Here is a 24,532-nt window from a genome sequence, read left to right as displayed (position 1 = left end):
TCTACCTACTTTATAGCTTTGTTGTGAGGATTAAATGTTAATACCCAACAGTACTTGGAACGATGATGGGTGTAGAGGATACATTATCTACTAGTATTTATTTTAAAATAGCTTGAGATATAATTCACATATTGTAAGATTCAACTTGTTAAAGCATGCAATTCATTGGTTTTTACTATATTCACACTTGTGCAACCACCCTTATTATCTAATTTTAGAACATTCTCATCATCCCCAGAAGAAGCTCAAGATATCTATTAGTAGTAACTCCTGATTCCCCTCTTCCTCCAGCCCCTGGCAACTATGAATCTACTTTGTCACCATAGATCTGCCTATTCTAAAATTTTAAGTTAATAAAATCATACAATCTGTGGCCTTTTAAGTGTCTGGTATCTTTCGTGTAACATAATGTTTTCAAGGTTCATCCATGTTGTAGCAGCATCAGTTAGTTTATTCCTTTGTATGGTCAAATATTTCATTGTATAGATATAACACATTTTATTTATCCACTCACCAGGTGATGGGCATGTTTACATCTTTTGGCAATTATGAATAATGCCATGAATATTTGTGTACAAGTTTTCATGTGGATATGTATTTCCACTTCTCTTGGGTAGACACCCAGGAGTACAACTGCTGGGTCATATGGTAATTATTCAACCTTTTGAGGATCCACCAGACTGTTTTCCAAAGTGCTGCACCATACTACATTCCCACCAGCAGTGTATGGGGATTTTGATTTCTTCCAGTTCTTGTCAACACTTGTTATCTTTTTTGTTTTAGCCATCCTAGTGGGTATGAATTGATATTTTATGGTGGTTTTGATTTGCATTTCTCTGATGACTAATGATATCAAGCATCTTTACTGACCATTTGTATATCTTCTTTGGAAAAGTGTCTAGTCAGATCATTTGCCCATTTTAAGATTGAGTTGCCTTTGAGTTGTAAGAGTTACATAGTCTAGATACACGTCTTTTATCAGACATAGGATCTGCAAATATTTTCTCCCATTCTGTGGGTTGTCTTTTTACTTTCATGATAGTATCCTTCAAAGCACAAAAGTATTTTAACTTTGATGAAATCCAATTCATGTTATTTTTTTCTTTTATTACTTGTGCTTTTGGTGTTATCTCTAAGAATCCACTGGCAAATCCAGGGACATGAAGATTTACCTTTATGTTTTCTCCTAAGAATTTTATGACTTTAATGCTTACATTTGGGTCTTTGATTCAGTTGAATTTTTGTATACAGCAAGAGGTAAGAATCCAGCTGCATTCTTTTACATGTGGCTACCTAAGTGTCACAGCACCATTTGTTAATATCTACATTTATCCTCACACCAATACCAGCTGCCTTGGTTATTACTGCTTTGTAGCAATTTCTTTTTTCTTTTTAGAGATGGAGGGGGGTGGGGGTCTCACTATATTGCCCAGGCTGGTCTCGAACTCCTGAGCTCAACAGACCCTCCCACCTCGGCCTCCTAACGTGCTGGGATTATAGGTGTGAGCCACCGCTCTTGGCCCTGTAGTAAATTTTAAAATAAGGAATTGTGAATCCTCTGAGTTTGTTCTTCCTTTCAAGGTTGTTTTGACTACTCTGTGTCAAAAATTCATATGAATTTTAGAACTAGCTTGTCAATTTCTACAAGGAAGCCACCTGGGTTTCTAAAAGGTATTGCGTTGAATCTGTAGATCAATATGAGGAGTACTGACATTTTAGCAATAGTAAGTCTTCTAATCCATGACCATGGGATGTTTTTTCATTTATTTTAAGCTTCTCTAATTTCCTTTAACAATGTTTTACAGTTTTCAAAGTGTAAGTATGAGTTATGTCCTTAGTCATTATTCTAGGGCTTAGCATATATACCTTATTAGAAACAGCTCCAGATTTATACTAATTCCAGTGAGATACAGAAACATTCCTGTATAACATTATTGATACAGGAGTTAAGAAGAAATTACTTAGGCAGATAGTGAGGGTACGGAAGTCCTCGGTAAGGTTTTCCTTTTAATGAAAAGCAGCCCCAAATTATTTTCCTTTCTAACAAAGAGCAGCCTGTAAAATCGAGCTGCAGACATACATGCCAGCAGTTGTGCCAATCATATTCAAGATGGTGGCTCCATCTTCCCTTCTCTTTGTCAGCCACATGTACATTAAGGAGCAGACAAGACAGTGCTGGCCAATGGGAAAGTTCATTTGCATAATAAGATGAGGTTGGGGCGGCCAGCCCTCCCCACGCTATGTAAACATCATACCTGATCGAACCAGTCTGTGAGCCCTATGTAAATCAGACATCACCTCCTCAAATCTGACTATAAAATCTGGCACATCCGCTGCTGGCTCCTTTTTCCTCTCAGAAGTCCCCTCTCTCTCACTAGAGAGAGAGCTGTTTTCTTTTCTTTCTTTTGCCTATTAGACCTCCGCTCCTAAACTCCTGGTGTGTGTCCATGTCCTAAATTGTCTTGGCGTGAGAAGACGAACCACGGGTATTTACCCCAGACAACGTAGCTACTTCACTATTCCCTTCCCCCTTTTTCTATAGTATTATTGTTATATACATCTATAAAAATTACAAATCCAATAATACATTATTATAATTATTACTTTATAATTTTGTCTTTTAAAGAAGCTGGGAGAACAAGTATACATTTATAGCTTTTGATATATTAGCCTTATTTATCATTTCTGGTTTTCTTGATTTGTTCTTGTGGATCCTAGTTACCATCTGGATTTGCTTCCTTAGTTCAATACAGCTTTGCTCCCATTCACCATTGTGCTGTTTTTGGCAAGTGTATTACATTTCTCTATATTACTGACTGAACAATACATTATATACATATCGTTTTATACAAATGCTCTTAAAATCAATTAACAGAAAATGGGAGAATTATGTATTCATACTGACTTCTACAATTACATAATTAGCTTTACAGGTACTCTTTATATCTTCACGTGGATTCAAAGTACTGTTTAGGGTTACTTGCTTTCAGTCTAAAGAACTTGTTTTATTAAGTCTTGTAAGGTGAGTCAGCTAGCAACAAATTCTTTCAGTTTTTTGTTTATCTGAAAATGTCTTTATCTCCCTTGCAGTGTTAAAAAATAGCTTTACTAGATACAGGATTCTTAGATGAGGTTTCTTCTTTAAGCACTTCCAATATGTTATCCCACTGACTTACATTTCTGATAAGTCAGCTGTGAATCTTATTGACCTTCCCTTGTAATGATGAGTCATTTTTCTCTTGCTGTTTTCAAGATTTTCTCCTCGTCTTTGGCTTTTAGCATTTTTACTATGATGTATTTATGCATCTCTTTGGGTTCACTGAACTTCCTGGATATGTAGGTTTCCAATAAATTTGGGAAGTTTAAACCATTATTTCTTCAAATATATTTTTCTTCTCCTTTCTTTCTCTCTCCTCTCCTTCTGGTATTCCCATTATGTGTAGGCTGGTATGTAAATGTTATTCCACAATTCTCTAAGGCTCTCTTCGTTTTTCTTTATTCTTTCTTCTGTTCTTTGCCTTGAATATTCTCTATTGCTGTGTCTTCAGGTTTGCTTATTCTTTCTTCTGCCAGTTCAAATCTACTGTTGAGCCCCTTCAGTGAATTTTTATTTCAGTTATTGTACTTTATTCAACTCCAGAATGTCTATTGGGCTCTTTTTAAAAATAACTTCTATCTCTGTATTGATTTCTCCATTTTATGTGACTTCATTACATCTGTTACTTCTTTAATCATGGTTTCCTTTAGTTCTCTGAATATATTTATAATGGCTACTCTGAAGTCTTTGTTAAATCCAACATCTGGTCATACAGGCAGTTTTTGGTGCCTGCTTCCCTCCCCCACCCCCACCCCGCCCATGGAAACTGGACATCTTGTAACAACTCTAGGTATTTGCACTCCCTTCCACCCACCTTCTCCAGGAGTTGCTATTGTATTTGTTTATTTGTTTAGTGACTGGCTAAATTATCTTAGCAGTCTATTCTCTCTCTGCTTCCTCAAAGTGTGAAGCCCTAATGTTGCACCTTATAGGGCACACCATTGGGTATGTCCACAGTTGCACTGGGATGACAGTGGCTTTGGCAGACCCCTCTGACTTTCTCTTTTCCTGATCACACACAGCTCTTATGTGACACTAATTGCTGGTTGACTGATCTACTGTCTTCAAAAATGTCCTGGGGCAAAAATTGCTCCACAAACAGATCCAATCTTTTGAAGGGATAGTTCCTCCCAGCTACCACTTTCCTCCTTTCACTCTAGCAATCTAGCTCAGTTATCCCATTCCTCCTAGCAAAGTAGCTGGCCTTTGGGTTAACCTATATCTCCAATGACTGTGTTAATGTCACCCCAAGTGCCTTTCATCACAACCTGCACCCTTAGGCATGAACTTCTCCATATTCTGTGCAAATGAAGTCAGTTCCTTTGAGGAGACATTCAGCACTCTCTTTTATAAGGCTTGCTTCTTCCCCTGGACAAAATTTCTGAGCCCTGGTGCTGATGCTGGGGGCAGAGACAATGGTATGCTTCTGTGTGACACCCTCACTTTAGGGCTGACAGCTCAACTGAAGTAAAGGTACAGCAACCCTTGATCTCCTTGGTTTGCTTTTCCTGGGGTGGAACCATGTTCCGCCACCAGGATGACTGTGGCCCCGGTATTCTCAGCAGTGTCACATCCAAGGTACAGCTGCTATCCCATGAGGAAGGGCAGAATGGAAGGAGGTAAGACCCACCTCTCAGCTACACTTATCCAGAATTTAGTTTCAGCAACAGGTAGCTGGGGGCAGGATGAGAAATGCTGACATTCCATCACTCCTGTGAAGACAGCACTCCAACTGGGACTAGAGGGAAAGGGAACCGTATATTCTTCCCTGCACCAGTTTGGAGAAGAGTTCTATCTCACTTAGCCAAGAGAAGAGAGGGAGAACAGGTCTTGGTTCAAATAACACAGACTTTCACTTTCCTTGCTTTTTTTCCTTAGAGATAGGGTCTCACTCTGTCACCCATGCTGGAGTGCAGTGGCGTGATCATAGCTCACCACAGTGTCAGATTCCTAGACTCAAGCAATCCTCTCTCCTCAAGCCACCCAAGTAGCTGGGATTACAAGAGTGAGACACAGCATCCGGCCCACTTTTCTTACTTTTAGATTTTTTTGAATAGGTGTTTCTTCATTGACTGTATGCCTTTGGGACTATTTCCAGACTTTAAATGGTTGTTCTTAAAAATAATTTTTACCAGTTCCATTAGGGAGCAGATCTGTAGAGATCTTCACACTGTCATGGCTGGAAGCGGAACTTCTTGATGAAATCTCTATATGAGAAAATGCACCTGAAACTCTAAAGTACAAATCAGAGATAGTATTCTTATTATCCCAGACAGAAATCTTAAAAAGTGATCCAACGATCATGTATAGACTGCCATACCTGTGGCTTACTAAGTCAGGGCTGTCCTGTCCTTGCTTTCTAGATTTACTCCTCCAGTGCCATGGAAAACATCTAAAACTAAAAGTGGAATTTGGAATGAAGTTTAAATTGTTTTTTTGACCTACCGTGAAGCATTCATCCTGCCCTATGATACAACCCAGACCTAAGTCAAGTCTTGTGTCAGATTCCAGCTGGACAGGAACTTTAAAAAGTAAAAGGTTTAGATGTACTTTTGGTATTGTGTGCAATTATTTTAAAGAGATGAAGATGTTGAAAATTACTGGTTTCTAAGTGAGAACTGTACTTGCACTATGTAACAAAACATTCCCTCAAGCAAAGACACCAAATAAATTTTGAGTCAAATTTGCAAAGCATACAAAGCTTATTTTATTTTAGTAAAAACTGGAGTGTGACAATTCCAAATGACCAAAATAAGGACAAAGGGCTTTTAGAACAAGCATCCATTCCTCAAGCTATTCCAAAGCATGGATTCACAGTCTAGGATTAATGATTCTATTTTGGCACATATTCCTTGGGGGAATCTAATATAGAAATTTACCCATTCATTTTCTATAGTCCACAATGGCAAGCCTCAGCATGCATCTATAATTGAGAAAGTGCCAAACCAAACACCATGGACAAAAAGCCAACTTAGGAGCCAAGGCCTAACACAAGGCCAGGAATACAGGATTTACTGAGAAAACATTTGTGGATTACAGAGATCTCTAATATGCTAAATACATTTGTGTCTGGGGGAAAAAAAGAAAAAAGTATTTGAAATGGCAGAATGAACTTTTGTGTTTATATATATTTCACTCCATAAACTGGCTCTGCCGATAATACTGCCCCAAACTGAGTAAGAGTTTTTTATGCTCTCCCAAAAGGAATACGTAATCAAGAAGGCCAATTTTAGAGAAAATACATGATTTGAAAAAAGAAATATTAGTCCTTCGCTTATAACTCCAATCACACTATTGTAACAGTATATTGTAACGTTATAATTATATAATGAACCTATGCTTATATCATTATAATCTATTGTAATATAAAAGAACAGTTTAAAAAACAGAAAAGAAAAATATCCACAGTAATAACTATACAGGTGGCTGCCATTTATCTCCTTGTCACCATTTTTTCTTTGTATGGTTTTTATCAGTTTTACGTGGCTGTGATCATACTGTATGCATACTTTTGCACTGTATCCTGCTTTTTCAGTGAACAACATGAGCTGTGCTTGGGATTCTACTTTATAGCTAAAATAATATAGAACACAAAACCAAACAATATGTACAAGTCACAGGAATTCTGGCCTCCACTCACTCACCAAGTTCTTTTCATTCAGTTAACAAGCATTTATTATAGGTGCCTATTTTGCTGAAAATATAAAGTAAGCTAGAGTTCTTGTCCTCAAAGAGCTTGCAATCTCAACTTGACAATTACCTTACGGCTTCACAGAAATATGGGCTGTGTGAATTTGAAGGTAATAAAATATGCTTGATATTTGGCTACTTTTAACTTTACTCTTTTGAGGAAAATTACTATATACACAAAGATTTATCTCAGACAACTGAAATTTTCCACATTTGATAAGGCTGTATTCTTATATGTGAAAGAGCTGGAAATCTTTTAATCATTTTATGATATGTCTCTTCCAAAACTTATTGCAATTAGTACTCTTTATTGGTTTTGAGGTCAGTTTTGTTTTAAAGCTTTTTGTTTAAGAGCTTTCATTTCCTCAACATGTGAATTTTCAGATTATTCATTATATCCTCCCCACCAATCCTACATATTTGCATGACATATTTGTTTATGTGCTGGTAGATAATCACAGCCTACCAATTTAGGTACAGAATATAAAGCAAATGCTTCAATAAACACAGGTGCTTTTATCTAAGTATACAATGATCCACATGCACCTGGAACTATTTGCATTATATGCACAAACATTAGCCGTTGTATCTGACTTTACTTCTCTAGAAAAATGTAAGCACTTCTAGTTGCTAATTTCCTTTGCTATCTTCCAACTTAAATCTAGTTACCTAAATGGTTTCTCAAGGTATAAAATGAGAGAAAACAAGGTACTGGATGATAATTTCAAGCCTTCTGAAATATACCTCAATGGTAATAAGAGGGAGCTATTGAGCAGTGAGCAGTGAAGGAGCTGCACATAATAGATAATCTGCTGTCTATGTGAGGCTGAACCACTAACTAGTGGTGTGAGTGTTAGCAAGCTGTCATTCATATGAGCCTCAGTTTCCTTATTCATAAGATAGGAATGGTGATATTCTTACCATACTTACAGCACTACCGGTAAGAAGCAAATCTTTGTAAAACTGCAAAACACTATATAAGTGTCAGGAATTAGGTCTAAAGATCATTAATTTATAATTATCTCCTAAAAAGCACAGTATAATCAAGTTTTTTTTTTTTTGAAGGGCACTGTTCCCTTACACTTACTTCTAAGTTGTCACAAAGATTTTTCATATAAGAGGGGTTAGTGTTTTTCAAAGAGATAGCAATGTAGTTTACCAAAAAATGTCCCGCTGTTACTAAGTAGTTGCTGGCATAGAGCTCCAAAAACACATTTAGGAAAGAGAACGAGGGGAGTGATATGGTTTGGCTGTGTCCCCACCCAAATCTCATCTTGAATTGTGCTCCCATAATTCCCGTATGTTGTGGGAGGCACCTGCTGAGAGATAATTTGAATCATGGGGGCGGTTTCCCCCATACTGTTCTCGTGGTAATGAATTAGTCTCATGAAAGCTGATGGGTTTATCTCATTCTCTCTTGCCACCACCATGTAAGAAGTACCTTTCGCCTCCCACCATAATTTTGAGGCCTCCCCAGCCATGTGGAATTTTAAGTCCAATTAAACTGCTTTTTCTTCCCAGTCTCGGGTATGTCTTTATTAGCCGTGTGAAAATGGACTAGTATGTTAAGTTGGTACCAGTAGAGTGGGGTGTTGCTGAAAAGATACCCGAAAATATGGAAGCAACTTTGGAACTAGGTATCAGGCAGAGGTTGGAACAGTTTGGAGGGCTCAGAAGACAGGACAATGTGGGAAAGTTTGGAACCTCCTAGAGACTTGTTGAATGGCTTTGACAAAAATGCTGATAGTGATAAGAACAATAAGGTCCAGGATGAGGTGGTCTCAGATGGAGATGAGGAAACTTGTTGCAAGTGGAGCAAAGGTGACTCTTGTCATGTTTTAGCAAAGGGACTGGTGGCATTTTGCCCCTGCCCTAGAGATCTGTGGAACTTTGAACTTGAGAGAGATGATTTAGGATATCTGGCAGGAGAAATTTCTAAGCAGCAACACATTCAAGAGGTGACTTGGGTGCTGTTAAAAGCATTCCACTTTAAAAGGGAAACACAGCATAAAAATTCAGAAACTTTGCAGCTTGACAATGCAGTAGAAAAGAAAAACCCATTTTCTGAGGAGAAATTCAAGCTGGTTGCAGAAATTGTGAAACTAATGAGGAGCCAAATGTTAATCCCCAAGAAAATGGGGAAAATGTCTCCAGGGCATGTCATAGGTCTTAATGCAGCCCCTCCCATTACAGACCCGGAAGCCTAGGAGGGAAAAATGGTTTAATGGGCCGGGCCCAGTGTCCCTGGCTGTGTGCAGCCTAGGGACTTGGTGCCCTGAGTCCCAGATGCTCCAGCCATTGCTAAAAGGGCCCAAGGGACAGCTCAGCCCATGGTTTCAGGGGGTACAAGCCCTAGACCTTGGCAGCTTCCATGTGGTGTTGAGCCTGTGGGTGCACAGAAGTCAAGAATTGAGGTTTGGGAACCTCCACCTATATTTCAGAAGATGTACAGAAAGGCCTGGATGCCCAGGCAAAAGTTTGCTGCAGGGGCGGGGCCCTCATGGAGAACCTCTGCTAGGGCAGTGCAGAAGGGAAATGTGGCTTCAGAGCCCCCACACGGAGTCCCTACTGGGGCACCGCCTAGTAGAGCTGTGAGAAGAGGGCCACCATCCTCCAAACCCCAGAATGGTAGATCACTGACAGCTTGCACCCTGCACCTGGAAGAGCCGCAGACACTGAACACCAGCCTGTGAAAACAGCCAGGTGTGGAGCTATACCCTGCAAAGCCACAGGCGTGGAGCTGCCCAAGACTATGGGAACCTACCTCTTGAATCACCGTGACCTAGATGTGAGACATGAAGTCAAAGGAGATCATTTTGGAGCTTTAAAATTTTACTGCCCTGCTGGATTTCAGACTTGCATGGGCCCTGTAACCCCTTTGTTTTGGTCAATTTCTCCCATTTGGAATGGCTGTATTTACCCAATGCCTGTACCCCCACTGTATCTAGGAAGTAACTAGCTTGCTTTTGATTTTACAGGCTCATAGGCGGAAGGGACTTGCCTTGTCTCAGATGAGACTTTGGACTGTGGACTTTTGGGTTAACGCTGAAATGAGTTAAGACTTTGGGGGACTGTTGGAAAGGCATAATTGGTTTTGAAATGTGAGAACATGAGATTTGGAGGGGCCAGAGGCAGAATGATATGGTTTGGCTCTGTGTCCTCACCCAAACCTCATCTTGAATTGTACTCCCGTAATTCCCACGCACTGTGGGAGGAGCATGGTGGGAGATAATTTGAATCATGGGGCAGTTTCCCCCATACTGTTCTCGTGGTAGTGAATAAGTCTCACAGGATCTGATGGGCTTATCGGGGGTTTCCACTTTTGCATCTTCCTCATTTTTCTCTCTTGCCACCACCATGCAAGCAGGGCCTTTCACCTCCCACCATGATTCTGAGGCCTCCCCAGCCACGTGCAATTCTAAGTCCAATTAAACCTCTTTTTCTTCCCAGTCTCAGGTATGTCTTTATCAGCAGTGTGAAAACGAATATAGGGAGCAAACGAATTGGGCAGTAATGTGACTTCCTTTTATTTTCTGAGTAGGCTTAAGGTACAGAAATGCCTATATTCTATATGTCTCTCCATTAAGAACTTGAAAAGCTTATTAAGGTATAGATCCTTCTGAGCTGTCCAATAGTTCTGATGTCTAAGTCTAAAAAGAGCCTTAGGCATGAAAGAGTCACAAATGGTTTTAACCCCTGGAGACTTCACAGAAATGAATTTGTTTGTTGATGTTTTCCCATTAATGAAGATTACCTGGCTAGGTCCCTAATGACATTTGTTTATAACAGACCTCCCAGGAAGCAGAAACCTACACACTGTAACTGGTAATAAGCACTACAGAGTAGTTACTCTCTTCAGAAATCTAAAACTCAGAAAAAGACAGTACTTTGAAAATGTTAGTTTTTTTCTACTACCCTATTGGAAATAAACACATTTTATTAATAACTGTGAAAGAAATTTCTCCCTTTCACCTGAAATTTATATGGGGTAGGAGACTCTGTCTTAATATGCTTGTATTTACCAGTAAAAGCACTACCAAAGACTCTAATGTCAGATTTCTAAGGCACCATGAATCTATGGATATAGTATGGATCTTCCAATGAAATTAAATAAATAGCAGCTGGCTTCCTAGCCTGAATACTTATCATGAGTTTGTCAAACAACATGTTCTTTTTAACACCTTGCTTTTTTTTTTTCACTCTCTCATTAGCACATACAGCAAATCTCTTTCTACTACATCATAATATTCCATAATGTAAATGAGCCATAGTTTCTTCAAACACTCCTTAAATGCTGGACACTTGTTTCCAATCTTTTGCTATTATGTACAATGTTTCAGTGAATAACTTTGCTTACTTGGGGTTCAATCTATCTGCAGAATAGATTTCTAAAAGAGACACTTCTTGGTGAAAGAGTAAAACGTATCTGTAATTTTGGTAGACACTGCCAGTTTCTTCCCCATAGGGATTGTGCCATTTTGCACTCCCATCAGATATATGAGTATTTATTTCCTGAAGACCATCTATAAAAATACACATTGGGGCCAGGTGCGGTGGCTCACGCCTGTAATCCCAACACTTTGGGAGGCCGAGATGGGCAGATCACGAGCTCAGGAGATTGAGACCATCCTGGCTAACACGGTGAAACCCCATCTCTACTAAAAATACTAAAAATTAGCTGGGCGTGGTTGCGGGCGCCTGTAGTCCCAGCTACTTGGGAGGCTGAGGCAGGAGAATGGCATGAACCTGGGAGGCGGAGCTTGCAGTGAGCTGAGATGGCGCCACTGCACTCCAGCCTGGGCGAAACAGCAAGACTCCGTCTCAAAAAAAAAAAAAAAAAAAAAAAAAATACACCTTGGGCCAAATGTGGTGGCTCACACCTGTGATCCTAGGGCTGTAGGAGGTCAAAGTGGGAAGATCCCTTGAGGCCAGCCTGAGCAACAGAGTGAGAGCCCGTCTCTACAAAAAATTTAAAAATTGGCTGGGCATGGTGGCACATACCTGTATTCCTAGCTACTAAGGAGCCTAGGGCGGGAGGATCACTTAAGCCCAGGAGTGTTACAGGGGACTATAATCATGCCACTGCACTCCAGCATGGGCAACGAAACAAGATTCTGTTTCTAAATAATTTATATACTTTATACACACACACACACACACACACACACACACACACAGAGAGAGAGAGAGAGAGAGAGAGAGAGACATAGAATACACATGTCTGGAGCTCACCTCCCAAATTCTCACTCGGTAGATAAGAGGTTGGGCCTGAGCAGGGCTATTTTGAAAAAGCTCTCCAAAGAGCATATCCCTAGTTGAGAATCCCTGTTCTAAAAAGGTATTCTAGTCTTGGTTACATTGTTCAAATCCAAAAGAAAGTCAGAGTTAAACCTTTAATCTACAAAATTTATATTCCATGGTCACTCATCCAATAAATACTTTTTGAGTGCCTATTATGTGCTGGGCACTCCAAATGTCAAGTGTATAAAGATACCAGTGTCTAACATCAACAGATATATAATTAAGAAACAAGGCATAAATATTAATTTAGAGATTTATATAGAGTATTATGAGAATATTGAAGAGGTACTTCACCTTAACTGGAATGTCAGAGGAGGCTTGCTGAAGGAGGTGCCCCTGAGGTGAGTAGGGATTCACCAGGTGAGAAAAAGAAGAGGTGTACAAGAGGGAGAGAGCACTCTAGGTAGAAAACAATATATTGCAAAAGTAGTAAGCAAGAAACAGAAGGGATGTGGATGTGTGCATAACTGGAAACATTTTCTATTTCTAAAACACAAAATACAAGGGAGAGAAAAGAAATAAGCTGCGAAAGTAGGCATATGACAGATCACTGAGCACCCAGCATGTCATGTTAAGAAGCTTGAAGTTTATTCTGTAGGTAAAGAAAGTCAATGAAGGGATAGATGAAGGGTTTTAAGGCTAAGGATGACATGGTCAGATTGTTATTTTGGATTTATGGATGCCAATCTACTAGAAAAGCATGTAACTGGAAAATGAAAGAACAGTCAGGAAACTGATGCAGTAATCAGATGTAGGCCTGAATTAGAGCAGAGGTTAAGGAGAAAATGGATGGAAGAAATCTGAAAACGTAAAATGAGCAAGACACTGATATTAGGTATGGGGATACAGGTGAATGGAGGAATGATTTCAAGGCACTGTCAACCCACTACTAGCAAAATACTGGATTTAAGCTATTTTTCTAGCAGCAGTGATAGATTTACACTGATTCAGTCATACTCTCTTGTTTGGTTCTGGCATTTGTATAGCCAGGGATAGATGTACGGAGTACAGCAAGACACAAAGGCAGGGCCAGGCATGGTAGCTCACACCTGTAATCCCAGCACTTTGGGAGGTTAAGGCAGGAGGGATCACTTAAGGCCAGAAGCTCAATAGACCAGCATGGGCAACATGATGAGACCCTGTCTCTACAAAAAAATTTTAAAATGGGCATGCTGGTGTGTGCCTGTAGCTCTAGCTACTGGGAGGCTGAGGCAGGAGGACTGCCTGAGCCCAGGAGTCTGGGGTTACAGTGAGCCACTGCACTCCAACCTGGGTGATAGAGCGAGACCTTGCCTCAAGCTAAGTTTTGTAATATTAGCAATGGATTTTGGGCAACCTGGAGTCTTGCCACTAAACAGTCAGTCTTTGGGAGTGAGTAGATCTGGGAAGAGACTCCTCTGAATCCCTCCCACTCCCCTGATTTATACAAGTGTTAATAGTCCTGCGAGGACAAAGGAGGAAAGAGTTACGTGTAACCCAAACTAAACCTAACCTAACCTTTCTTCTCAGGGTTCCTAAAAAACAAAATGAAGGGAAACAAGAAACCAATCAATAACCATCAGATGAAAACATGACCACTGCTTAGAAAGTCCATGAATGCAATACACACACACATAAACATTCACAGAGCAACACCAAGGCTTACCTTTCTTTTATCTTCATCTGTTGATTCAAATTTGAAAGTAGCCCTATGCTGAGGGGGAAAAAAGGGAAACAATGTCATTTTAAATACATGTATTTTTTAATTTTGGCTACGTTTAATAGCATCTAAAATAATGTCCCTGTAAAAAATGTTGCCTTCCCGTATCTCAATATTCTTATTAAAGTAAGGGAGACAGGCATGTAAACAAATAGTTATAAAGCAGTGTGAAAAGACTACAGCAGATATATATACAAAGGAGCACAGCAAACCAAGCCACTAACTGCCCAGGAAAATCCGGAATGGCTTTCACAGAATACAGAGCATTTGTGTTGGATCGTGAGGGATAAACAGGAGTTTGCCAGAGGCAAATGGAATGCATTCCAGGAACAAAAACAAAGGCTCGAATGTGTGAAACTATATGATATATTTGTGAAATAAGCAACTTTGTGAGACTGGAACACAGGACATACGTTTGGGGTGGGGCATGGAGGAAGAAGAGAATGGAAAAGTAGACTGGACAGTGATTTGGAAGGGCCTTCCGATGCTGCTGAGTTTATACTTTCTTTTTCATATGCAATAAGAAATCATCAGAGAACTGTGGATAGGGAAGACTTGATGGTTTGATATTTCAGAAAAGTAATTCAATAAGAATAAGAGTTTAAATCATGGTGGCTCCACCACCTACTAGCTGTGACCTTAAGCAAGTAAACTCTCTGGAACTGAGTTTCTCATCTGAAAACAGGGTGTACCTAGTTCATAGAGAGACTGTGACAGTTAAAAAAAAGCTAAGGCATGTATATAAAGCACAATCTCAGTGCTGGCAAGTAGCAATACTCAGTAAATATTAGGGATATAATGATGATGATGCCAATGATTATGAGGAAAAAATAACTGGAAAGGCAGAGAGTGTCATGACTCTTCTGCAATGATTGGCAATACTATATTTTCTACTCTGTAGCTGAAGTAGAGGGGAATAGAAGACAGAATAAGTTGGCTTGCCCATGATCACAGAAAGAACAATGGTACCCCAAAAATAGAGCACAGAATTCCTCATTCTCCTCTGAAGTTTTATTCAGGAGAACCAAGTACTCTTAAGAATTCTAAGCCTTTCTATTAAAAAACAAAAATCTCCACCAAAAATCTCTCCACTTTTTCTTTTTTCTTTCTCTCATTAGCCACACTGACAAATATTTACTGGCAACCCACCAGGAGTGAAGTACACTGAGTACTAAAGATATCATCATCACAGGTGGTTCTGTGTTGACATCTTTGTAGAAGCAGCAATTTTTTAAATTAAAGAAGATAGAGAAATGTTGGCAGAAAAGAAGTTCTGAATGTAAGAAATGATCAGAGGGAAGACTCAGAGGTAGGAGAGAGTGGCCATTTGAGGGAGGGAGGCTGCCTCGAATATAGATGCAAAACAATTAAAAGGAATGAACTCAGGTGGTAAGGGCATGGATTTTAAAATTTACACCTGAATTGGCAAATAGGTGACAGGCAACCAGGGGAAGACTACGACGGAGGTGTGAGACCAGCATTCTGGTAGAACATTTTGGGCGGTAGCTCACAGGCCAGATTAAAGGAAAGCAAGACTAAGGACATAATGCCCTGTGAGGAATGGACATCAATAATCCAGGCATGATACTCCTGGTGGCAGTATAAACTGACATAAACCTTAAAAGAGAAAGTGATTTGGCAACAACACATATTAGAAGACATAAAAATATTCATATTCTTTGACCCAGAACTCCTACTCCTAGGAATTTATCCTACTGATCTAGAAGGAGAGAATAATTATATGTGTATCACTGCAGTGTCATCCAACATAGTGGAAGAAAAAAAGCGAGAACTGGAATAACCAACAGGAGACTGACGGAATGTTATGCATGTGACAGTATTCTATTATACATAATATATTCACCTGACAAAATATTATGTAGCAATTTTTTAAAAAGAAGACTCATTGTTGGTATATTGTTTTCATAATAAAAATTTTTTTTAAATAGATAATAAAGAACAAGAAAAAGAAAGAAGGAGGAGAGGAAAGAAAGATTGTAAATCTGAGGGCTATACTTAGAAATGTATAGACCTGAGGTTTAGTGAAAATTAACATTAGACTTAAAAGTGCCAGATATCAGGTTAAAGTTGTAAACTAAAGCCCCTAAAGGTTCAATACAAATGAAAATAATCGCACTAAGAAACCAAGAAAGCCTATTTTTTTGCCATTATATGTAAAATGCTAATTCCATAAATTATCTGGAATAAATGTACCTACTTGTTAATATAACGTTTCTTCTAAACTTTTTTTTGGCATTAATGGTAAGGGGAAAGAAAAATAAATTGTCTTTTGGAAAGACACTCAGTAAGTTATAAGTGTCTTTTAAACAGTTCCTCTGTAGAATTAATCTTTTAAGGTGGGAATTCAGAATAGTACCAAGGTCTAATTATTCTGTTGCTCTTAATTAGAAAATATAATGGTCTGTGAGGCACTACAAATTGAATCTGGAATGCGCCAATCTATTCAGAAGCTCAAACCTCTAAGAGTGTTTGGATCCAATAGATGTTGGCTTCTATAAACCTGGGTTCTTTTATCCAACTTAGATCATACTTAACTTATTCAGTACCCCTATCTTTATTCTCTCCCCTTTCTAAGGCTGAAATGGGGAAAGAGAGAACAAGCATTTCCAGCTGTACATGTATTTCTAGAACTGTTAGCCAACAGTCAGCCATCTCACCTTCTTTACATGTTTAATTTCCAGAGAAACAGGAGCAAAAAATCAAATATAAAGAGTTAAATTGGCCGGGCATGGTGGCTCACACCTGTAATCCTAACACTTTGGGGGGCTGAGGTGGACAGATGGCTTGAGACCAGGAGTTTGAGACCAGCCAGGGCAACACGATAAAACCCCATTTAAAAAAAAAGAGTTAAACCATTGTTCAATTTAGAGATCAAGCAAGCTAACAGCTCAGTGACACACCAGACTATTATGAGGACTCTCACTACAGGTTTCATACTCCATGAATAAGCTCTAAAAAGCTCAGGATCAGGAGTCAGACAACCTTGAGTTTGAGTCCAGTCTTACTGTTTACTAAAAGTGTAAACTTGGTCAAGTTATTCAACTTTACTACCTATCAAATTTTCCTTATTTTTTATAAGCATGGCACCTTGCACACAGTAGTGTTCAATGGCCACTACTGTTATTGTTGAATAACCTATGGTGTGGCATCTGGCCAAATATTGACCTATTAGAGAGCTAGGAATAATTTCATAGATTTCTAAAGATACACTCAAACAGCACTACTACAAGGGAATAAACCTAATTGCGTGGTGTATGTTGTGCTGTTTCATGAACACAGATTGCTTCTACAACTAAAAATTAGAAACAAATTATATAACATAATCTGGACATAAGAACAAAGTATAACAAAGGAACAGCCCACTAAACATGCTTCTCTGCAAGAACCCACAGAGTGAAATCAAAGAGTCAGAGCCCAACTTCCAAAGTAGAAAACAAAAAGTCCTCTTACATGGTCCTGGATATTTACATACTCTATTCAAATGTAGAGGCTATATTTATAGAACTGTCCCAATATCAGGTTTCTATGAATCAGGTTCTTCTAGCACATGAATGAAGACCTCACTGCCAGCAGTCTTGTTTTCTTCTCCTAAGAGGACTACTACTAGAGACCTACCTATCTGTCTGTATCTTAAATACCTTTCATTTGGCCAAAAACTTGCCATACTTCAAAACTGGAATGCTGCTGGAATTTGCTATGTATGGGGTAGTCATATGTCCAGGTGGCCTGCAGGGCCACCAAGCCACGTCTCTGGTTATCATCATAGTTGATGAGTCATCTATTAAACGAGGGGGTTGGGCCCTATTATCTTTGAGGCTCCTCTAACATAAATAGCCTGCGATGTAAAGAATCATGATACTACTCCATACCTCAGGGCCCTTAGTCACAGTTTGTTGTTGATAATCATGATAATGATGGCAACTAATCTCTCTACTAAATGTGTTATTAGAGAAGTCCTGAGGGCTGGGCACTGTGCCTCATGCCTGTAATCTCAGCACTTTGGGAGGCTGAGGCCCAGAAGTTCAAGACCAGCCTAGGCAACATGGTGAGACCCCCAACTCTACACACACACACACACACAAAAAAAAAAAAAAAAAAAAAGAACAGGCCCCCGTGGGGGAGCAAGAGCTTGAACAGTCTAGACTGGAATGATACATAATTCCCCAAATTAACAGTTCATTCTATAACTAAAGTTGAGGTGATTAGGACCCAACAGTAGCCAAAGGATTCTGTATCTGTGGATTCAACCAACAATGGCTTGAAAATATCTGAAAAAAAAAAAAAAAAATTTTTTTTTGTGTGTGTCTGTGTTGAACAAGTGCAGGCTTTTTTTTTTCTTCTTGGCATTATTCCCTAAATAATACAGTACAACTATTTGTATACCATTCACATTGTATTACGTATTATAAGTAATCTAGAGATTAAAGTATATAGGAGAGGCCAGGCATAGTGGCTCATGCCTGTAATCAGAGCACTTTGGGAGGCCCAGGTGAGTGGATCACTTGAGGTCAGGAGTTCATGACCAGCCCGGCCAACATGGTGAAATCCTGTCTCCACTAAAAATACAAAAATTAGCCAGGCATGGTGGCACACATCTGTAGTCCCAGCTACTCAGGAAGCTGAGGCAGGAGAATCGCTTGAACCTGGGAGGCGGAGGCTGCAGTTAGGCGACATCAAGCCACTGCACTCCAGCCTGGGCGGCAGAATGAGACTCTGTCTCAAAAAAAAAAAAAAAATGTATATAGGAGGATATGCCCAGCCAGGCTCAGTGGCTCACGCCTATAATCCCAGCACTTTGGGAGGCCGAGGCGGGCAGATCACCTGAGGTCGGAAATTCGAGACCAGCCTGACCAACATGGTGAAACCCCGTCTCTACTAAAGATACAAAATTAGCCGCGCATGGTGATGCATGCCTGTAATCCCAGCTTCTCAGGAGGCTGAAGCAGGAGAATCATTCGAACCCAGGAGGCAGAGGTTATGATAAGCCGAGATCGCGCCATTGCACTCCAGCCTGGGGCAACAAGAGCAAAACTCCATCTCAAAAAAATGGAGGGTGTGCCCAGATTATATGCAAATACTATGGTGTTTTCTATCAGGGACTAAAGCATTAGAAGATTTTGGTATCCACAGATTCTGGTATCCACAGGAGATCCTGGAAGCAATCCCCTTTGGATATTGAGGAATAACCGTAGTATACCACTCCTGAAAAAGAAACTTTTTCTGTGCTCAAAAACACAGAAGAGACAGGGTAAAGGCAACATAGCCCTGCAAAAAGATCCCTGGATATGGAATCTGAAGACCAGGTCTGCCATTTCTTAGCTATGTGACCTTGAGCCTGTATATAGAATACTTCCATCTCCCTCATAAGTTTTAATATAAGAGGATTAATATAAGAGGAATTAATATAAGATGACATACGAAATGTGAAAATGCTTGGGATAATACATAGTACATAGCAGGCACTCAATAAATGTTAACAGGTGCATTGAGAGGAGAGAAAAACAACTGCTCCTCCCATTAAACAAACAAACAAACAAAAAAACTTGCCTATGCTGAGACCTATGCTGTGTCATGCCCTTGACAAACAGACAAGTTTCATTCTTTCTGGGATAGATACATATTTCCTCTCTCCAAGATAACAAAGGTCAGTGAATGAAGCAAGAAGGCTTGGAAATGAGAATCTATATAACACAGTAGAAATTAGATGTTTCCCGGAGCCCGACAGGTATCTCTAAAAGCGGTACAAGGTACAATTTTGCTACCCATTAGAAAAAGAAGGGGAAGAATGGAGCATATTCCCAAATTTTAATATCGTGCTATCCCAACTCATGCCACGTTTAATTTTTTTGTTCAAAGCTAACAGTTATGGGGTGCCTCCTCAGTGGCAGGCACTGTTCTGTGTGCTTTACACATGTAACTCATTTAATCCTGACAACAAATCTATGATATAGTTACTATTATTATCTCCATTTGGCAGATGAGGAAACTAAGCCACAGCAAAGTTAAGTAACTCGTTTAGGGTCACACAAGCCATTAAGTTGAGGATCATAGCCAGGCTGGCTACAGAACCTGTGCTCCGGCCACACCTCTTAGGTACCCTGGTCATTATAACTGTAACTTACTGAGTGCTTCCTAGGTGCATTGTGCCCAGTGTTGGCATTATATTTCATTTAATGTAATCCTCACAATAATTTAAGAGAATGGTGATATTATCCCTATTTTACAGGTAAGGCAACTGAGACTCACAGGCTTAATATAATTTATCCATAGTCATAAAGCTAATAAATGGCAGAGTTGGGATTTGAACCAAGTTTATCTGATGTCAAATCCCACCACCTTTCTACTACACTTGACTGCCTCCTTTCAAGGACTAGCTTTATTAGAGGTATAAGGTAGCATAAAGAACCTCTCCACTACTCTCCCAAATAACGAACCGGTCTCTCTCTCTCTACAGCATTCATTTCTCTCTGTTGGACTCCTCAATGCCCTATAATCACCTCATAATCCAAACATTTCTCAAATCCATTTTTCCAGATAAGGAAACTGAAGTATATGGTACCCAACTATTTTTTTTCAGGGTTCTAAATTCCATATACCATAGAGCTGGGCAATTTAATTCCACCTCCCCATTCTTACTGCCTGAACCACTATGATCATACATTCACTTCCTATTCATCTGCTCTCAAAATCTCTCCCTTTGAGGGGCAAAACCTCACTGCAATATGATGTTCAGCCATTTTCTTTGTATTATAATCAGCCCTACTATACTGGCCCTACTACAGTCAGTATTAAATATGAGAGCTTTCTCGCCAGGCACAGTACCTTACACCTATAATCGCAGTACTTTGGGAGGCCAAGGTGAGAGGACTGCTTGAGCCCAGCAGTTTGAGAGCAGCCTGGGCAACACAGTGAGACCCCATCTCTACAAAAAATGAATTTAAAAAGTTAGCCCAGTGCTGTTGCACGCACCTGTAGTCTCAGCTACTTGGGAGGGTCGGTGGGGGGGAGGAGATGGAGGCTGCAGTGAGCCGTGATTGCACCAGTGCACTCCAGCCTGGGTGACAGATACAGACCCTGTCTCCAAAAAAGAAGGGAGCGCTTTCTTCTGAAAGAGCTAACTGACCCAGTTCACATCTAGTCAGAGCACTCTCAGGCTTGATCCCAAAATTACAAGGGTTTGGGAATCTTTTGAAACACTTCAGATACCACCTTAAGCAAGACACACCATGCAAAACAACCTTAAAAACATTCCCAATACAAAAGGGGAGCTGGAGATGTTCAGGATTTAAGCTCTGACAGCACCTGGCCAGGAGTGGTAAGTAGATACCAATCTGGAGGGAGACCAATGAGAAGAGATAAATTGGAGGAAGCAAATCTGGAGTCTAATTAGTTTAGCCATAAAGGGAAGGAGAAATATTAAAGAACGTGATTATATCCAGTTGAAGGTTTTTCCTCCTTCCTCCCCTACAGAAACAAATTCCTATTTATTGCTGGGTATCTGGCATATAGTAAGTGCTAAATAAACATTAGTTGATTCAACAAATGGCCAAGTTCTCTTTGCATTTCTTGCTTCTGAAAATCAGTTTGAAGCTGCCTTATATCTTTTCTGGAAAGCAGTAATAAATCGGGTTAAATCATAATCTCCACAATATGTACAACTATGCATTGAATGAGTTATTCCTAAATTAGGCAGACATGTTCAACAATAAAGTGTATCAGAAAGTGAAGGAGCTAAGATATGAATAGATAGAACCTATGAATCTTCCCAAGGAAAGCAACACAGTACGGCAGAAAGAGCGCTCGCTGGACTTGGAGTTGGACAACGTAAATTCAAATCTCAGCTCTATCTCTCAGTGGCTGTGTGGACTTGGGACCACATTATCATTCTAAATTTTATCATTTGTGAATTGGGGAATACCATCACTCTCCTCCCAGGGTTGTTGGGAAGATTAAACGGGAATTCAGCCACCAGTATGCCATTTCTGCCCCGGGTGGAAAAGATTCAAAAATAAGACACCAATTGTCAGTAATACAAAGTGGATGGATGCAGTGGTGGACACAAAGCAAACACTGAAGGGGAGACGATGTACGGGGGCAAAAGAAAGAAAAACATTAACAGCTAGGTTGTGACTTGGTGTTGGGTGTGTTTTCACAGAAGGGAGTCGCCAGTCATTCCTATAAAGCAGTCTTCTAAACCAAAGGATAAAGGTGTGGTAGGCTATCTTTTGAAGTGAGCATGTAAAATTCCTGGAAGGAAAAGTAATGAAGAGCTAACGGTTCTTGGAAAGAGGTTCTGAGAAGTGACTGGGATTTATAACAAGATACTCTTTTACGCAGAGTTGTGAAGTGGAAAGAACTAAACTGGAATACCAGCTCCAAGTATGACCTTGGGCAAGTTACTTAACCAATCTAGAGTCTCAATTGCAAAATGCAGATAATACCTCACAGGATTGCTGTAAGATTAAATAAGATAATGGATAGGAAAGCTGTTAATGCGATACAAATAACAGGTATCATTAGGAGTTACATTCTCCACCCACTTACAACATTATATGTCCATGACCTTGGGCGTGATTTCAGCTCTTTGCACCTCGGTTTCCTCATCTATAAAATGGGGAGGATGATACCATCTACCCTATAAACACTCTGAGGATCAAAGGAGACCATAGATGAGACATCAATGCCTTGAAAACCGTACAGTGCTAAACGTATAGAAACTGCCATCGTTGCTGATACATTTGATGCATGTCAAGGGCCGTGTTTATGCAGGGAAGCACGTATTTTTATGCTATACAGGTGAGGAAGCCTCTCATGCATTTATGCATCCAGGAGTGGGGCACGGGGCACAGATGCACATCTACGGATTCCGGGGGTGTGACTTGCACGCTTGAGAGGAGGACCGGAGGTCAAGCTGCTGGGCCAGGAATCAGAGGAGTGGGCGCTACAGTGGGGGTAGTGGGATGCAGGATGCATGGATGGAAAAGGCTGGGGGCACAAACACGCATGCCCAAGCCGGAAACGTTTTCGGGGGAGAGCAATGCGCATCCCCGGAATGAGGGGGGTGGGGAAGGATGCGATGTGCAAGCACGGAGGGCGGCCCGGGGGTGCGATACCGCACGCCCGGGGCCAGGACTCTTTACCTTGTCGCTGTAATCCCTCAGGACCCGCTCGATAGCCCCTGCTTCGCCGGCCCGGACGATGTAGAGGGCGCGCTCCTCATCCATGGCCGCAGGTGCGGGGGAGCCGCGGCCGCTCTGCGCGCCCAAGCCGCTGCCTCCAGGTAAACGCCTCGCGCCCCCGCTCGCTCCTTCCCAGCTTCCTTCCTTCCCTCTTTCCCTCCCTCCGTCCTGCCTCCAACCCGCCAGCCTCCGCCCGGGCCGGCCCGACGTCACCGCCCCTCAACTTTCACCCCGCGACGTCACCGCTCCCCCAGCAACCGGCGCCTCACGGCCGCCCCTGACAAGGCCCAGGACTCGGTCGAGGCCTGGCTAGCGGACCGAGGCGGAGTCAGGCCCAAGGCCCTGCTTGCTCTCCTGCCTCTCCCTCCCTCGGAGAACTGTCCAGTCTTTTAAGGGGGCTTTCACAGACTGAACCGTTCTTCTTTCCTGACCCTCCTCTATGAATCATTCTCAAAGGACTAGAGCAACCCGGCTCTTCCCCGCCCATCTATGAACCAGCCGCTAAATGGACTGCAATTCCCTGCATGCAATGGGGCTATCCCGCTCTTCCATCTAATTTACTGGCGTGCCGAATGGCATGCTGGGATTGGTAGTCATCCAGCCGGAAAGAATTCCCGCCAAGGGCATGCTGGGAACTGTGGTACCGCGAGGGCCGGAAACGGGAGTCTGGCGGCCGCCTGAGGCCAGCGGCGGGGAGACCGTTAGAGGGAGGGTCTAAGCGTCTGCTTCGGTTTTGTTCGTTATGTCGCTGACTGTCCTGCTTCAGTCTCGGCTGGCTGGGCTGGCTGGACTGGCCGACGGTCGCGGAAACTGCCATCCCTTGGTGGGAACTGTCAAGCACGGTTTAATTCCCTTTTCTCATTTAGCGGTTTCGGTCTCGGGAATTCCTTCCACCCTTATTTGCGTTCTTGTTATGTACTCAGCTACAGTAATGTGGGAAATAATTGAAGGCAGTTATCTGGATAAAAGAGGACTCGGCGATTTTCTGCCTTAATACTAATCTCTAGCATGCATCTCGTGCCACCGGGGCTCCAGACTCTCTTAGGTAATTTCCCTATATCCTCTAATTCTCCCAACACAAATTTTTGTGGAAATAAAAAGGAACCCGAATAGTTTCAGTAATTTATCCTAAGTCACACGGCCAGAGAATGGGAAAGTCGAGGTTTGAAACCAGGCCTTTCCCCCCGAAGCGGCCGCTCTACGACCTCCGGGAACTGTAATAATACCGATACAGTAGCGGTGGTGGTGATGACAAAGATTCCCATTGCCCCGGTGGTAATTACGTGTCAGGCACTCTGTTAATACTTCACCTGTGTTAGCTCAATCAATTTCATACACATTCATTCAACAAATATTTGAGAGCCTGTGCTGTGCCCAGGTGCTGTTAAATGCAGTGTGGATACAGTGGGCCCAAAGTAAAGTCCCTGCCTTCATGGAGCTTCCATTCTAGTGAGCACCCATATGAGTTATTCTCATTTTAAGATGAGGAAACTGAGTCTTGGAGAGGTTAGTTGGTTAATTTATCAAAATTGCAGATTTTTGGAA

General features: G+C 41.1%; 1 protein-coding gene and 1 long non-coding RNA gene across 25 annotated transcripts in view, besides 3 other annotated features; one reads left to right on the top strand and one right to left on the bottom strand.

Annotated features, from left to right (window-relative positions):
• The window catches only part of RIC8B (RIC8 guanine nucleotide exchange factor B), a 114,635-nt gene extending 91,539 nt beyond the window's left edge, over positions 1 to 23,096 (bottom strand). For 17 of the 24 annotated variants that reach the window (NR_147135.2, NR_147133.2, NR_147137.2 and 14 more), the window contains exons 1-2: positions 22,949 to 23,096; positions 13,734 to 13,781 (exon numbers count right to left, since the gene is read on the bottom strand). Coding sequence is in view for 7 of the 24 variants with exons in the window: in NM_001330147.2 (NP_001317076.1) it covers positions 13,734 to 13,781; positions 22,949 to 23,032 (132 nt within the window). In the remaining 17 variants the exon portion in view is untranslated. Of the gene's footprint in view, positions 1 to 13,733; positions 13,782 to 22,352; positions 22,455 to 22,948 lie in introns of all 24 variants that reach the window. The other 7 variants (XR_007063101.1, NM_001330146.2, NM_001351363.2 and 4 more) reach the window with 3 other exon arrangements.
• Positions 22,576 to 22,625: an enhancer, noted in NCBI's record as "active region_6949". NCBI's record gives its function as "activates an Ori minimal core promoter by ATAC-STARR-seq in GM12878 lymphoblastoid cells {active_cell/tissue: GM12878}" and the evidence as "EXISTENCE:reporter gene assay evidence [ECO:0000049][PMID:35858748]".
• The window catches only part of LOC100287944 (uncharacterized), a 278,422-nt gene continuing 276,836 nt past the window's right edge, over positions 22,947 to 24,532 (top strand). The window contains exon 1 of the long non-coding RNA NR_040246.1: positions 22,947 to 23,088. This is a non-coding gene — a long non-coding RNA (uncharacterized LOC100287944). The remainder of the gene's footprint in view (positions 23,089 to 24,532) is intronic.
• Positions 22,956 to 23,185: a silencer, noted in NCBI's record as "silent region_4818". NCBI's record gives its function as "represses an Ori minimal core promoter by ATAC-STARR-seq in GM12878 lymphoblastoid cells {active_cell/tissue: GM12878}" and the evidence as "EXISTENCE:reporter gene assay evidence [ECO:0000049][PMID:35858748]".
• Positions 23,396 to 23,947: an enhancer, noted in NCBI's record as "H3K27ac hESC enhancer chr12:107167609-107168160 (GRCh37/hg19 assembly coordinates)". NCBI's record gives its function as "activates a minimal SCP1, AML or CMV promoter by ChIP-STARR-seq in primed H9 embryonic stem cells {active_cell/tissue: H9 hESC(primed)}" and the evidence as "EXISTENCE:reporter gene assay evidence [ECO:0000049][PMID:30033119]".

This window comes from Homo sapiens, chromosome 12 (assembly GCF_000001405.40).
Source record: "Homo sapiens chromosome 12, GRCh38.p14 Primary Assembly".
Taxonomy (NCBI): Eukaryota; Metazoa; Chordata; class Mammalia; order Primates; family Hominidae; genus Homo; species Homo sapiens.
This window is presented reverse-complemented; position numbering and strand designations above follow the sequence as displayed.